Source organism: Homo sapiens, chromosome 19 (assembly GCF_000001405.40).
Source record: "Homo sapiens chromosome 19, GRCh38.p14 Primary Assembly".
Lineage (NCBI taxonomy): Eukaryota > Metazoa > Chordata > Mammalia > Primates > Hominidae > Homo > Homo sapiens.
Window position 1 is genome coordinate 41893522 of NC_000019.10, and position 13402 is coordinate 41906923.

General features: G+C 58.8%; 1 protein-coding gene across 15 annotated transcripts in view, besides 6 other annotated features; it reads left to right on the forward strand.

Annotated features, from left to right (window-relative positions):
- Window positions 1-13402, forward strand: part of ARHGEF1 (Rho guanine nucleotide exchange factor 1) — a 46958-nt gene that overhangs the window by 10338 nt on the left and 23218 nt on the right. For 5 of the 15 annotated variants that reach the window (NM_001396003.1, NM_001396002.1, XM_047439665.1 and 2 more), the window contains 19 exons: window positions 686-785; window positions 930-1026; window positions 1105-1140; window positions 1828-1965; window positions 2856-2961; window positions 4921-5066; window positions 8366-8512; window positions 8753-8835; window positions 9012-9137; window positions 9263-9377; window positions 9786-9886; window positions 10186-10263; window positions 10514-10589; window positions 10695-10862; window positions 11428-11515; window positions 11654-11740; window positions 12239-12306; window positions 12418-12504; window positions 13182-13282. In NM_001396003.1, coding sequence (NP_001382932.1) covers window positions 686-785; window positions 930-1026; window positions 1105-1140; window positions 1828-1965; window positions 2856-2961; window positions 4921-5066; window positions 8366-8512; window positions 8753-8835; window positions 9012-9137; window positions 9263-9377; window positions 9786-9886; window positions 10186-10263; window positions 10514-10589; window positions 10695-10862; window positions 11428-11515; window positions 11654-11740; window positions 12239-12306; window positions 12418-12504; window positions 13182-13282 — 1948 coding nt within the window. Of the gene's footprint in view, window positions 1-685; window positions 786-929; window positions 1027-1104; window positions 1141-1827; window positions 1966-2855; window positions 2962-3793; window positions 3806-4424; window positions 4593-4920; window positions 5067-8365; window positions 8513-8752; window positions 8836-9011; window positions 9138-9262; window positions 9378-9785; window positions 9887-10134; window positions 10266-10513; window positions 10590-10694; window positions 10863-11427; window positions 11516-11653; window positions 11741-12238; window positions 12307-12417; window positions 12505-12935; window positions 13100-13181; window positions 13288-13402 lie in introns of those variants that run through there. The other 10 variants (NM_004706.4, NM_198977.2, NM_199002.2 and 7 more) reach the window with 7 other exon arrangements.
- Window positions 931-1431: an enhancer, noted in NCBI's record as "H3K4me1 hESC enhancer chr19:42398525-42399025 (GRCh37/hg19 assembly coordinates)". NCBI's record gives its function as "activates a minimal SCP1, AML or CMV promoter by ChIP-STARR-seq in naive H9 embryonic stem cells {active_cell/tissue: H9 hESC(naive)}" and the evidence as "EXISTENCE:reporter gene assay evidence [ECO:0000049][PMID:30033119]".
- Window positions 2391-2933: an enhancer, noted in NCBI's record as "H3K27ac-H3K4me1 hESC enhancer chr19:42399985-42400527 (GRCh37/hg19 assembly coordinates)". NCBI's record gives its function as "activates a minimal SCP1, AML or CMV promoter by ChIP-STARR-seq in primed H9 embryonic stem cells {active_cell/tissue: H9 hESC(primed)}" and the evidence as "EXISTENCE:reporter gene assay evidence [ECO:0000049][PMID:30033119]".
- Window positions 4485-4985: an enhancer, noted in NCBI's record as "H3K4me1 hESC enhancer chr19:42402155-42402655 (GRCh37/hg19 assembly coordinates)". NCBI's record gives its function as "activates a minimal SCP1, AML or CMV promoter by ChIP-STARR-seq in primed H9 embryonic stem cells {active_cell/tissue: H9 hESC(primed)}" and the evidence as "EXISTENCE:reporter gene assay evidence [ECO:0000049][PMID:30033119]".
- Window positions 10242-10847: an enhancer, noted in NCBI's record as "H3K27ac-H3K4me1 hESC enhancer chr19:42407915-42408520 (GRCh37/hg19 assembly coordinates)". NCBI's record gives its function as "activates a minimal SCP1, AML or CMV promoter by ChIP-STARR-seq in primed H9 embryonic stem cells {active_cell/tissue: H9 hESC(primed)}" and the evidence as "EXISTENCE:reporter gene assay evidence [ECO:0000049][PMID:30033119]".
- Window positions 10848-11452: an enhancer, noted in NCBI's record as "H3K27ac-H3K4me1 hESC enhancer chr19:42408521-42409125 (GRCh37/hg19 assembly coordinates)". NCBI's record gives its function as "activates a minimal SCP1, AML or CMV promoter by ChIP-STARR-seq in primed H9 embryonic stem cells {active_cell/tissue: H9 hESC(primed)}" and the evidence as "EXISTENCE:reporter gene assay evidence [ECO:0000049][PMID:30033119]".
- Window positions 12058-12662: an enhancer, noted in NCBI's record as "H3K4me1 hESC enhancer chr19:42409731-42410335 (GRCh37/hg19 assembly coordinates)". NCBI's record gives its function as "activates a minimal SCP1, AML or CMV promoter by ChIP-STARR-seq in naive H9 embryonic stem cells {active_cell/tissue: H9 hESC(naive)}" and the evidence as "EXISTENCE:reporter gene assay evidence [ECO:0000049][PMID:30033119]".

Below are 13402 nucleotides of genomic sequence, written 5' to 3' on the forward strand. Positions count from 1 at the left end.
GGACGCCTGGGTCTGAGGGAGGAGGGGGCTGGGGTCCTGGACGCCTGGGTCTGAGGGAGGAGGGGGCTGGGGGCCTGGACGCCTGGGTCTGAGGGAGGAGGGGGCTGGGGGCCTGGACTCCTGGGTCTGAGGGAGGAGGAGGCTGGGGGCCTGGACTCCTGGGTCTGAGGGAGGAAGGGGCTGGGGGGCCTGGACGTCTGGGTCTGAGGGAGGAGGGGGCTGGGGGGCCTGGACGCCTGGGTCTGAGGGAGGAGGGGGCTGGGGGGTCTGGACTCCTGGGTCTGAGGGAGGAGGGGGCTGGGGGCCTGGACTCCTGGGTCTGAGGGAGGAAGGGGCTGGGGGCCTGGACTCCTGGGTCTGAGGGAGGAGGGGGCTGGGGGCCTGGACTCCTGGGTCTGAGGGAGGAGGGGGCTGGGGGCCTGGACTCCTGGGTCTGAGGGAGGAGGAGCCTGGGGCCTGGACACTTGGGTCCTGGGCATTGGGTAACAGCCCTTGCCCCTGTCCTTTTGAACCCTCTCATCTCTCCTCAGAGTCTCACAGGAAGTAGTTGTGGGGTCAGGATGGGAAGGCCGGGCCTCTGCCTCTAGGGGGAGAGAGAGAGAGTGTGTGTGTGAGTGTGTGTGTGTGTGTGTGTGTGTGTGTGTGTCTTTGTGTGTGTTGAGCCCTCACTGTCCCTTCCCTACAGTGCTGCCGTGGTCAACGCCATTGGCCTGTACATGCGCCACCTTGGGGTGCGGACCAAGAGTGGAGACAAGAAGTCGGGGAGGAACTTCTTCCGGAAAAAGGTGCTTCCCTCAGTGCCCCGTCCTGACCCTTTCCTCTCCAGAGACGCCCTGGGAGCCTCATGACTCTGGATACCTAGCGTCAAATTCTGCTTTGTTGTTGTCTCAGAGATGCTTAGCCTGGTCTTCCTCCCCGCCCTCTCACAGGTGATGGGGAACCGGCGGTCGGACGAGCCTGCCAAGACCAAGAAGGGGCTGAGCAGCATCCTGGATGCCGCCCGCTGGAACCGGGGAGAGCCCCAGGGTAAGGCGGCTCTGGCCTCTGCCCTCCCCTGTCTTCCCCAGCTGCTCCCACTCACTGTCTCATTCTCTCTCGTTTCAGTTCCAGATTTTCGACACCTCAAAGCAGAGGTTGATGGTAATGTACCTGTAGCCATAGCATCCATACTGGGGGCCTGTGTGGGAGAGGCTAGGACCTGGACGCCTGGGTCTGAGGGAGGAGGGGCTGGGACCTGGACGCCTGGTTCTGAGGGAGGAGGGGATGGGGGCCTGGACACCTGGGTCTGAGGGAGGAGGGGCTGGGGGAGCTCCTGGGTCTGAGGGAGGAAGGGCTGGGCCTGGACCCCTGGGTCTGAGGGAGGAGGGACTGGGCCTGGACCCCTGGCTCTGAGGGAGGAGGGGCTGGGGGAGCTCCTGGGTCTGAGGGAGGGAGGCCTGGGGCCTGGACCCCTGGGTCCGAGGTAGGAGGGATTGGGCCTGGACCCCTGGGTCTGAGGGAGGAGCGGCTCAGACTCGGACTCTTAGGTCTGAGGAGGAAGGGCTGGGCCTAGACCCCTGGGTCTGAGGGAGGAGGGGCTGGGGGAGTTCCTGGGTCTGAGGGAGGAAGGCCTGGGGCCTGGACCTCTGGGTCTGAGGGAGGAGGGGCTGGGGGCCTGGACTCCTGTGTCTGAGGGAGGAGGGGTTGAGGGCTCCTGGGTCTGAGGGAGGAAGGGGCTCCTTGTCATGGTGGGGAAGGGCCTGAGCACAGCCTCTTGCATCCCCTGGCGGTTGTGGATTTGAGTTACTGTTCTCTTATCTCCCTCTTTCTCCCTCACTGTCTCCCCAGCCGAGAAGCCAGGTGCTACAGACCGGAAGGGAGGCGTGGGGATGCCCTCTCGGGACCGGAATATCGGGGCTCCTGGGCAGGACACCCCTGGAGTCTCTCTGCACCCTCTGTCCCTGGACAGCCCAGACCGGGAACCAGGTGAGAGTTTCCTGGGCCAGGGCTCCATGAGGCCCGGCGATCCAGGGTGGGGGTGCTGCCTGCCCCCTTGGCACCCCCAGATAGAAGCCATTCCCCAGCAACACCTCCCCTTTGCTCTCAGCATCCACTTCTCCCTGCTCCTGGTCACCACTGTCATTCATAACTTTCCCCTTCCCTCAGTTTGCCCTTTCCACAGCTTTGCTCCCAGGCTCTGACCTCTCTGCTGGTGCTGCGTCTCCCACCCCCTTGGACTACGTTTTCCATCAACCCTTCCTTTTCCAGAACCTTCCCTGAGTACATGACCAGTCCACCCTCTGAGCTGCATTGCTGGCCCCCTAGGTGGGGAGCCCGCCAGCCCCATGAGCTTCATCCCTCACCATCCTTACACTGCTGTGGCCTCAGGCCCTTGGATCTCTGCATGGCCAGGCCAGGGCTCACACACCAGCTCTGCTGACTGCTTGTGTTTATTTAGTATCTTGGATATGACTCCCCTTTCTTAGCCTCCGTTTGCTTTTCTCTAAAGGAGTATGAGAGGGTGGGGAGGATGAATGGACGTGGAGGCAGCACAGAATCCAGGGCCCTCCCGACCTCAGGGGGCTGCAGTCTGGTTGGGTGGGAGAGATGTTTGTGACCTATTTGCTAGGCCTGGGGTCCCCATCCACCCAGGACACACAGGGGCACCCACTTCTGTTGCATCTTCATGCTCCTGCCCCTAGTGGCCATGTTCTGAGAGGTCTTAACATCTGTCCGTCCCGTGCTGAAGTACAGAGCAGCCATGTGGTGTCTGCCAGGCACTGGGTAGCTTTAGCCCCCGCAATTCCAGGCCCCCAGAGTGTGGGTCTCGTGGCCGCAGAGGCCTTCCAGCCAGCCCTGCTCCCTCCACCCCACAGGTGCTGACGCCCCCCTGGAGCTGGGGGACTCATCCCCGCAGGGCCCAATGAGCCTGGAGTCCTTGGCGCCCCCAGAGAGTACCGACGAGGGGGCCGAAACCGAGAGGTGCCCAGGCTGGGGTGCAGGGGCGGGAGGTGTGGCTTACTGGGCGCTGGTGGGTGGGTGCAGGGTCACCGCTGCCATCTGTGCCTGCCTGTCCCAGGCTCTTGCTCCCCATGCTCCTCTGCTGCTCTCTGGGTCTGGCCATTCCTCTCCCTTCTTCTTTCCTTTTCTCATCTCCCTCCTGCTTCCTCATTGCCCCCCTTTCCTTTTATCCTTCCTTTTTCCTCTGCTCCTTCCTCTCCTTCCTTTTTTCACTAATCCTTCTCCTCCTCCCTTCCTCTCCACCACTCCTTCCATCTCCTTTATTTCCCCCTCCTCTCTCACCTCCCCTCTCCTCTCTCACCTCCCCCATCCTCTCTCACCTCCCCCCTCCTCTCTCACCTACCCCCTCCTCTCACCTCCCCGCTCCTCTCTCACCTCCCCTCTCTTCTCTCACCTCCCTCTTCCTCTCTCACCTCCCCCCTCCTCTCTCACCTTCCCCCTCCTCTCTTTCCTCCCCACTCCTCTCTCACCTGGGTTTTCTTTCCCCACCTTCCATCCCCCTCCGATCTCCCTGCCACTTTTCATTTTTTCAGCCCTTCCTCCCCTTCTCTTTCAAGCCCCCCTGCCCCCTGCCCCCCACCCCCCGCCTCGCTCCTGCCTCCTGGTGCCCGTCCCTCAACCCCCCACCCCTCTGCTCTGTGCCCTGGGGGCCCTGTCCCCCTTACAGCTGGGGGGCAGGCTCTGCCTCCTGCCCGTCCTTGTGCCGCTGCTTTGGGGACCCTTTGGTGGGTGCGGGGAGGTGGGTCAGGTTCCATCTGGGCCCACCTCTGACCCTGTGCCCCTCTCTCCCCAGAAGGTGGAAGAGGTGGGTGCCTGGGCCCTGGGTGGGGGAAGGGCTAGCCCCTCCCCCATTTCTCCCAGCCCCTCCCCTCTCCCCATGGCCACTCCCTCCCCTTCACTCCCTGTGAGGGGTGGGTGGGGACATCACCCTCCCAGTTGAAGAGCTAAGTATGGAAATCCTCCCCACCCCATAACACCCCCTCTGTTGCCATCCCCCTGCCTCAGGGAAGGGAGGGGGTCAGTCCTATGCTCCATCCTGGGTTCCCCATCCCTTCCCCCATCAAATTTCAGTATCCCCCCTCCCCCAAGACCCCCCACTACCCCAGTGCCCCTAAAATCCCACCACTCCTCTGACTCTCTCCTCTCTTCTGTTGCATGTTTGATCCCTGTCCTGGTCACCCTTGCCCCGGTCCTGGTCTCTCCCTGTCTCTGTCCCTGTCCTGGTCTCTCCCCGTCTCTGTCCCTGTCCTCGTCTCTCCCCAATTTCTGTCCCTGCCCTGGCCTCTCCCCACCTCTGTCCCTGCCCTGGTCTCTCCCCGTCTCTGTCCCTGTCCTGGTTTCTCTTCGTCTCTGTTCTTGTCTTGGTCTCTCCTTGTCTCTGTCCCCGGCATCTGCCTGACTCTGTCCTTGGCCTCGGGGTCCAGGCTATCAGGGCGTCTGGGGCGCTCAGAGAGCCTGCGGGTGAGTGACCGCCGCCGGCCTTCCCGGGGCAGCCTCGGGGCTAAGGGCCGGGGTGGGGGCCGCTCCCGGAGCGACGTGGACATGGACCCCAGTTCCGCCACGGCAGTGCTTGGCCCTGCCCGACGAGCCACGTATGTCAACCCTCTCCCTTCCCCCATCCACTAAGGCAGCCTGGAGAATCAGGGAGGGATTGTTGTCAGAGTCACAGAGGAATGGGCGTTGGAGACCGAGGTCATTGAGGCCAACTGTGGTCACAGACCTTGGAGGAGGAGGGGGTAGAATGCTTCTAGAGATCTGGGAACTCTAGTGTGGTCCGATCTAGAGACCTGGTCTGCTGCACGGGCCACCCTGCGGGCATCGAATGCCAAGGCCACTGACCGGGGTTGAACGCTCTAAGAGGCTGAAGGCTGCTTCTTGGGATGGCCCAAGCTGGGGCCCTAACAAGGCCTCTGTCCACAGCCCCGAGCCTGGAGATGAGGGGGAGCCGGGGCGGTCGGGACTGGAGCTTGAACCAGAAGAGCCTCCCGGCTGGCGGGAACTCGTCCCCCCAGACACCCTGCACAGCCTGCCCAAGAGCCAGGTGAAGCGGCAGGAGGTCATCAGCGGTGAGTACTGCCCCCATCACCCCACTGTGGCCAAGGACACAGTCCAGCTCTGGCAAAGGCAAAGACAGGCGCAGAGAGATGTTCATCTTGGTGTCATTTACCATCGGGAGAACTTGAAGGCAGCTTCAAATTCCCTCTTGTTCCAAGTTCAGATTGTTTCAACACAGAGCATTTTGATGGAATGTGAATGCCACTGTGGAAGGGACATTTCCAAACATTTCTAGTAGTGCAATACAGTGCTGATGTTGAGAACACTGCATTTCTGGTGCAAGCTTTTATTTCCTTGCTTGTGAAATGTGGGCATTAATAGTTCCTACCTCAGATATTGTCATGAAGATGAGATGATTTGTGTGAAATGTTTAGCATAGTGCTGGGCACAGAGGAAGAGCATTTTATTTTATTTATTTTTTTAAATTTTTATTTGAGGCAGAGTCTCAGTTGGTCTCTCAGGCTGGAGTGCAGTGGCACAATCACGGCTCACTGCAGCCTTACCCTCCCAGGCTCAACTGATCCTCCCACCTCAGCCTCCCGAGTAGCTGAACAGGCATGTACCACCATGCCTGGCTAATTTTTGTATTCTTTGTAGAGATGGGGTTTCGCCATGTTGGCCAGGCTGGTCTCGAACCCTTGGGCTCAAGTGATCCTCCTACCTCAGCCTCCCAAAGTCTTGGGATTACAAGTGTGAGCCACCAGGCCCAGTCAAGGAAGAGCATTTTAATGAGATTGTTGTTACTAGTTTGATCTTAATTGCTTAGGGGAGAAAAGATCCCCACAGGGGAAAGTTTGGGAGAATGATCAGTATATTAGCAGTGCTTGCTTCTGCGTGGAGAGATGATGAGTGTATCATTTTTGTCTTTTTCCTTTTTTCCTTTGCTAATTGTGTGGTGGCTAGGGAGGCTGGTGGCAAAAAGAGAAAGCTTTTTTTTTTTTTTTTTTTTTAAGACAGAGTTTTGCTCTTGTTGCCCAGGCTGGAGTGCAATGGCACAATCTCGGCTCACCACAACCTACGCCTCCCAGGTTCAAGTGATTCTCCTGCCTCAGCCTCCTGAGTAGCTGGGATTACAGGCATGTGCCACCACGCCCGGCTAATTTTGTATTTTTAGTAGAGACGGGGTTTCTCCATGTTGGTCAGGCTGGTCTCGAACGCCCGCCTCAGCCTCCCAAAGTGCTGGGATTACAGGCGTGAGCCACTGTGCCTAGCCCAAGAGAAAGGTTTGGGACTTGACTGAAAGCTTATTTACAGATTACTTCATAGTGAAAAAGATACTTATTCAAAAATTTTAGGGGAGTAGTTGAGTACTTTTTGGGTCACAGATCCTTCTAAGGACATGATAAAAAAAAAAAAAAACATGAGCCATGTGCTACCCATTAGGACTTTCTGGAAGATGGAAATGTGCTTTATTTGTACTGCTCACCATGGGGACCATCGGCCACCTATGGCTGGTGAGCACTTGAAATGCACTAGGCCAGGCACAGTGGCTCATGCCTGTGATCCCAGCACTTTGGGAAGCCGAGGTGGGCAGATCACTTGAGGTCAGGAGTTCGAGACTAGCCTGGCCAACATGGTGAAACCCCATCTCTACTAAACATACAAAAATTAGCCAAGCATAGTGGCGCATGCCTGTAATCCCAGATACTCGAGAGAGTAAGCCAGGAGAATTGCTTGAACCCAGGAAGCAGGAGATGGAGGTTGCAATGAACCCAGATCACTCCACCACACTTCAATCTAGGTGACAGAGCAAGACTGTGTCTCAAAAAAAAAGCACTAAATACAACTGAGCACTGACTTAAAATTTCATTGCAATTAACGAAAATGTAAAGAGTTGTACACGGCTGGTGACTATCACGTTGGACAGGATAGCAATTTCTTTCCCCAGAAAGAATATGCATAATGTACAAAATCGTGCTTTTAGTCTCAGGGGACTTCTAGGGCCCCTGAAACTCACACATATGCCCTCCGGGGATGTGGGGGTCCCTGGATCTGAGGCTGTCAACCACTGTATAATGTGGCTTGATGGTTAGACACTAAACACAGCTGCAAGCTTGCTGGCAGGTGGGATGACTAGCTTGTCCCCATTTGCTCAGGATATTCACAGTTTTATCACTGAAAGCCCAGGCAGGCAAATGAGGACCATTGGTCACTCTGGCCAGCTGCCACAGCGAAAAGGGAAAGGCAGTGGGTTGAGGAATCCTCACTGGTTTTTTTTTTTTTTTTTTTTTTTTGAGACGATCTCGCTCTGTCGCCTAGGCTAGAGTGCAGTGGCGTGATCTCCGCTCACTGCAACCTCCACCTCCCAGGTTCAAGCGATTGTCCTGCCTCAGCCTCCCAAGTAGCTGGAACTACAGGTGCCCACCACCACTCCTGGCTAATTTTTGTATTTTTAGTAGAGATGGGGTTTCACCATGTTGGCCAGGATGGTCTTGATCTCTTGACCTCGTGATCTGCCCGCCTAAGCCTCCCAAATTGCTGGGATTACAGGCATGAGCCACTGCACCCGGCCCCTCAGTGGCTATTTAAGAGGGCAAATGACTCCACCCGGAGAGTTTTTTTTTTTATTTGTTTGTTTTGTTTTGTTTTTTTGAGACGGAGTCTCGTTCTGTCACCAGGCTGGAGTGCAGTGGTGTGATCTCAGCTCACTGCAACCTCTGTCTCCCGGGTTCAAGAGATTCTCCTGCCTCAGCCTCCCGAGTAGCTGGGACTACAAGAGTCCGCCCCCACACCTGGCTAATTTTTGTATTTTTTTAGTAGAGATGGGGTTTCACCATGTTGGCCAGGCTGGTCTTGAACTCCTGACCTTGTGATCCACCTGCCTCAGCCTCCCAAAATGCTGGGATTATAGGCATGAGCCACTGTGCCCAGCCATTTTGTTTTGAGACAAGGTCTCGCTCTGTTGCTTGAGCTGGGGTGCAGTAATGCCATCATAGCTCACTGCAGCCTCAACCTCCTGGGCTCAAGGGATCCTCCCACTTGAGCCTCCCAAGTAGCTGGGACTACAGGCACACACCAACATGCCTGGGCTAATTTTTTTTCTTTTTTAAATTTTTGGTAGAAACAGGGTTTCACCATGTTGCCCAGGCTGATCTTGGACTCCTGGGTTCAAGCAATCCTCTTGCCTTGGCCTCCCAAAGTGCTGGGATTACAAGTGTGAACCACCATGGCTAGCCAGAGAGAGTTTTTTCCCACCAACTTCTAGGAAGCTTTCCTCCCTGCTCTGCCTCATTCCTCTAGCCTGCCCATGAGGTCATGCCCCCTAGTCTGCACCCTCCCCAACATGCTTCCTGCTTTGGTGGCCCTGCAGAGCTGCTGGTGACAGAGGCGGCCCACGTGCGCATGCTGCGGGTGCTGCACGACCTCTTCTTCCAGCCCATGGCAGAATGCCTGTTCTTCCCCTTGGAGGAGCTGCAGAACATCTTCCCCAGCCTGGACGAGCTCATCGAGGTGCATTGTGAGTGCAGAGCCAGGGTCCCTCTGTGTACCCCACTGCCCCACGGGCAGCTCTGCTCTAGCCCTGGGTTCAACCTGCTCGGGAACCCCAGGGTTCACATGGGGTGGGGGCAGATACGCCATCCGGTCCCGAGGATCAGACACAGACACACCTGCAGCCCTACCCCCACCACACCGCAGCAGGCCCCGCACAGCATCTTCCAGACCCTGGTGGAGCATCCCTTTCCTCCTGCCCCCACAGCCCTGTTCCTCGATCGCCTGATGAAGCGGAGGCAGGAGAGTGGCTACCTCATCGAGGAGATCGGAGACGTGCTGCTGGCCCGGGTGAGATGCCCAGCCCTCCCGCTCCTCCCAGCTAGACACATGGAATTCAGGCCCGGGACGGGTCCTGAGCCCACCCTACTCCAGTCCCAGGGTCTGGGCTTCCAGCCTGTCGTACTTTAGTCCCTGTTCTTGCCCATCCCCACTGAGACACCTGCCTGGCCTGAATCTCGCTGTAGTTTGATGGTGCTGAGGGCTCCTGGTTCCAGAAAATCTCCTCCCGCTTCTGCAGCCGCCAGTCATTTGCCTTAGAGCAGCTCAAAGCCAAGCAACGCAAGGACCCTCGGTTCTGTGCCTTCGTGCAGGTGAGGTGGGGTCTGGACTCCAGCTTCCCAGGGAGGAGGGGCCTGGAGACCCAGACTCCTAGGTGCCTGCGCCCTGGGGTGAGCCCAAAGCCTGGGCCATCGCAACACCAGCATGTTTCCCGCAGGAAGCTGAGAGCCGCCCGCGGTGCCGCCGCCTGCAGCTGAAGGACATGATCCCCACGGAGATGCAGCGGCTGACCAAGTACCCCCTGCTCCTGCAGAGCATCGGGCAGAACACAGGTACCGCGGGCCTGGATCTCTGGGCCTCGGCTCTCCTCTTTTTTTTTTACATTTTTTTTCTCACTCATTTTCATCAGTGATACCATCACAGCTCACTGCAGCCTCAACCTCCCAGGATCTACCATCCTCCCACCTCAGCTCCCCAAGTAGCTGGGACCCCAAGGGCACACCACCATGCCCAGCTAATTTTTTTAGTTTTTTTTTTTAGAGACGGGGTCTCGCCATGTTGCCCAGGCTGGCTTTGAACTCCTGGTCTCAAGCTATCCTCCCGCCTCAGCCTCCCAAAGTGCTTGGATTACAGGCGTGAGCCACCATGCCCGGCCAGCTGTCCTTTGTCTAACCTTGGCTGCCCAATCTGGAGCCTCCAGGGCAGGGGTTCACCAGAGCTGCTCTCTCCCTTGCCTGCAGAAGAGCCCACAGAACGGGAGAAAGTGGAGCTGGCAGCCGAGTGCTGCCGGGAAATTCTACACCACGTCAACCAAGCCGTGCGTGACATGGAGGACCTGCTGGTGAGCCTGGGCTGGCCCCACACCCGGGACAGTGGATGGTGTGAGAGCAGGGGGTGGACCCTACCTCAGCCTGTCCAGAAGTCACACCCCACCCCTTGGCTTGTCTCCCTCAAGGGTCACTGTGTCCAGGGGTTGGCTTGGCCCTCAGCATCTCCCTCTCAGGGTCATTGGAGGTCAGGCCCAACCCTCAGCTTGCCCGCATCAGAAGTTGGTCTTGGCTCTCATCTTACCAATGTGGGTCACTGCAGGTCAGCCCCAGCACTTAGCTTGTCCCCATAATGCTCCCGTCTCTGCCCCAGAGGCTCAAGGACTATCAGCGGCGCCTGGACTTGTCCCACCTTCGGCAGAGCAGCGACCCTATGCTGAGCGAGTTCAAGGTGTGACCATACCCTCCTGCCTCCCCCGCCCCCCTACTCCTTGGCCCAGGGGATTCTGTGATACAGCCCCCAGCCTGTCCTGCCCATCCCATAATACACCCAGGAAGCGAGAGCTCTGTCCCCCACCTCATGCCAATCCCATGATCCCCAGCCTGTGGTCATCCCCGGCCACTGCCCTGCCCTTCCCCTCCCCACCAACCCCAATCACCCCCTGCCAACCTGCACAAACCATCACCCCCTCCTGCCCCAGAACCTGGACATCACCAAGAAGAAATTGGTCCACGAGGGCCCACTGACGTGGCGGGTGACTAAGGACAAGGCAGTGGGTGAGTGCCAGAGCAGCTGCCTAGTGCAGGGTGTTGGGGCAGTGAGCCAAGGGCGGGGAGGGGGTCGCGCGGGGGCACGCCGTGTGAGCACTGCTCGCCCCGTAGAGGTGCATGTGCTGCTGCTGGACGACCTGCTGCTGCTGCTCCAGCGCCAGGACGAGCGGCTGCTGCTCAAGTCCCATAGCCGGACACTGACGCCCACGCCCGATGGCAAGACCATGCTGCGGCCCGTGCTGCGGCTCACCTCCGCCATGACCCGCGAGGTGGCCACCGGTGAGTGCAGCCACTGCATGGCCCAGGGCAGAGGGTGTCTTTTTTGGGCAGAGCTGCCTGTGGAGTGGGGAGCAGAACCCTCTAGAGAGCCAGGGAGCCAGCATTCTAGCAAAGAGGTTGAGAAGTAGGTGGAGGTGGGCAGGGCGGGGCCAGGCCTAGAGGGTTTATAAGTGAGGTAGGAACTGCTGCAGGTGTTTGCACAGAGGCGTGTCTTGTGTAAACAAGGAGAAGAAAGGCCAGGAGTCCAGTGAGGAGGGATTTGTAAACATACTACTAGGAAGTTGCACCAGGGCCACAAACACTGGAAGCGGCTGGAGGGTGGGAGTGGCTGGAGGGGTTTCGTTAGGTAAGCCAGGGTACATGCCCGATTCCATAAGGAGGTGTGAGAGGTGGGGCTCAGGAGGACACATCGGGCCCTGGATATTAGCAGACAGTGAGTGGTGAGTTGAGCCATGGGAGCCCTGAGAGCGCCACCACTGTGGGTGACTTCTCCAGCTTGTGCTTAGGGAGGGGCAGGCACTGGGGGGACCTGGGCTCTGAGCCCCATCTCCCCCTCTCCCTGCAGATCACAAAGCCTTCTACGTCCTTTTTACCTGGGACCAGGAGGCCCAGATATACGAGCTGGTGGCACAGACTGTGTCGGAGCGGAAAAAGTGAGGGGGGGTCTGAGTTCTGAGTGTGGGTGGAGGACGCCCAGGTTTCTGGGTTCCCAGGGACAGGAGGGCTGTGGGGAGGCCCTGGCATAGGGTCTGGGGGCTCTGACTGCCCAGGGATTTGGCCTTTCTCCCCAGCTGGTGTGCTCTCATCACTGAGACTGCCGGATCCCTGAAAGTCCCTGCCCCTGCCTCTCGCCCTAAGCCCCGGCCCAGCCCGAGCAGGTGAGGGGGGCCATGGAGAGAGCTGGAGGTTCAGGGAGTGGGGCCGGAAGGCGGGGCAGGCTTCCCTCCACAACTCCAGAACCGTCTCTGTGTGAGCATGCACATGTGTGAATGCATGTGTGTGCATACATGTGTGTCTGTACGCAAGTATGTGACTGTGCGTGCATATATAGTGTGTGTATGCATGCATGTGTGCGTGTGCATGTGTGTGCGTGTATGGTGTGTGTGTATGCATATGTGTGCATGCGTGTGACAGCATGTGCATGCATGTGTGTGTGTGTGCGCATGTGCCGACCCCACCACTGCCCCGTCTGTCTCCTGTCTCCAGGCCTCTGTGTCTTCCATTGTCTGGGCCTCTCTGTCTCCCTGTCTCCCGGCCTCGACCTCTGTCTCTGTCTCCGGACCTCCCTGCCTCCCCACCTCCAGCTCTCTGTCTCCCTGCCCCTGCGGCCCCCCAGGGCCAGGGGTGTGGGGTCACCCAGCACTTCCTCCCCTCAGCACCCGAGAACCCCTCCTCAGCAGCTCTGAGAACGGCAATGGTGGCCGAGAGACGTCTCCAGCTGATGGTGAGACCAGAGGGATGCTGGGTGAGGGGCCAGGTTGGGGCTGCCGGGTGAAGAGAGGCATCCACAGGAGGCCCGGCAGGATCTGAGCTCCCTCTCTGTTCCCCAATCCAGCCCGGACCGAGAGAATCCTCAGTGACCTCCTGCCCTTCTGCAGACCAGGCCCCGAGGGCCAGCTCGCTGCCACGGCCCTTCGGAAAGGTAGCCCAGCTCTGCCCCTCCAGGGTGGCCACCAGCCCAAACAGTGCCTCTGTTCCAACTAGAACAAGGCTCTCCACGTCAAAAATTTCCTTACGCCCAGCTGCCAGAAAACAAATGCTCCAAACCCACCCAGCCTGCACCACTGTCCTGGGTGCCCACGTCCCTCTTCTGCAGCCACCATCCCTTGCTTGATTCTATATTTAGCCTCTTCCTGAACACATCTCTGTCTTCAGTACCTTCCTGCCCTGTCCCAACCCTAAACCCAGCCTCACTTCTTCACCTCCCTTTGGATCCCCGAACCCCATCTGCTCAGCCTTGCCTGGCACCCACCTTCACCTCCAGCCCCTACACATCCCCTTTGGAATCCCCCATCCCAGATCCCAGCCCAGCCCCCTGGTCTCCTGACTCCACCCCTCCTTGCCCCTGGCCAGTGCTGTCCCTGAAGCAGCTTCTGTTTCCGGCGGAGGAAGACAATGGGGCGGGGCCTCCTCGAGATGGGGATGGGGTCCCAGGGGGCGGCCCCCTGAGCCCAGCACGGACCCAGGAAATCCAGGAGAACCTGCTCAGCTTGGAGGAGACCATGAAGCAGCTGGAGGTGGGGCGGGACGGGCCAGGGGTGCCCTGAGTGGGCTGGGGAAGGAAGGGGCCCCCCTCATCCATGACCCCCACCCCACCAGGAGTTGGAGGAGGAATTTTGCCGCCTGAGACCCCTCCTGTCTCAGCTTGGGGGGAACTCTGTCCCCCAGCCTGGCTGCACTTGAGGTTCCCGCCCAGGAAGGTGAGTGGGGCACCTGGGGGCCAGGGCGCTGTCCTGAAAGGAGGGTCCCCCTCCAGAGCTCGCATCCCTACAGCCCCTTCTGTCCATCTCCCTCTTTGTCTTTTCTGAATCTCCCCACTC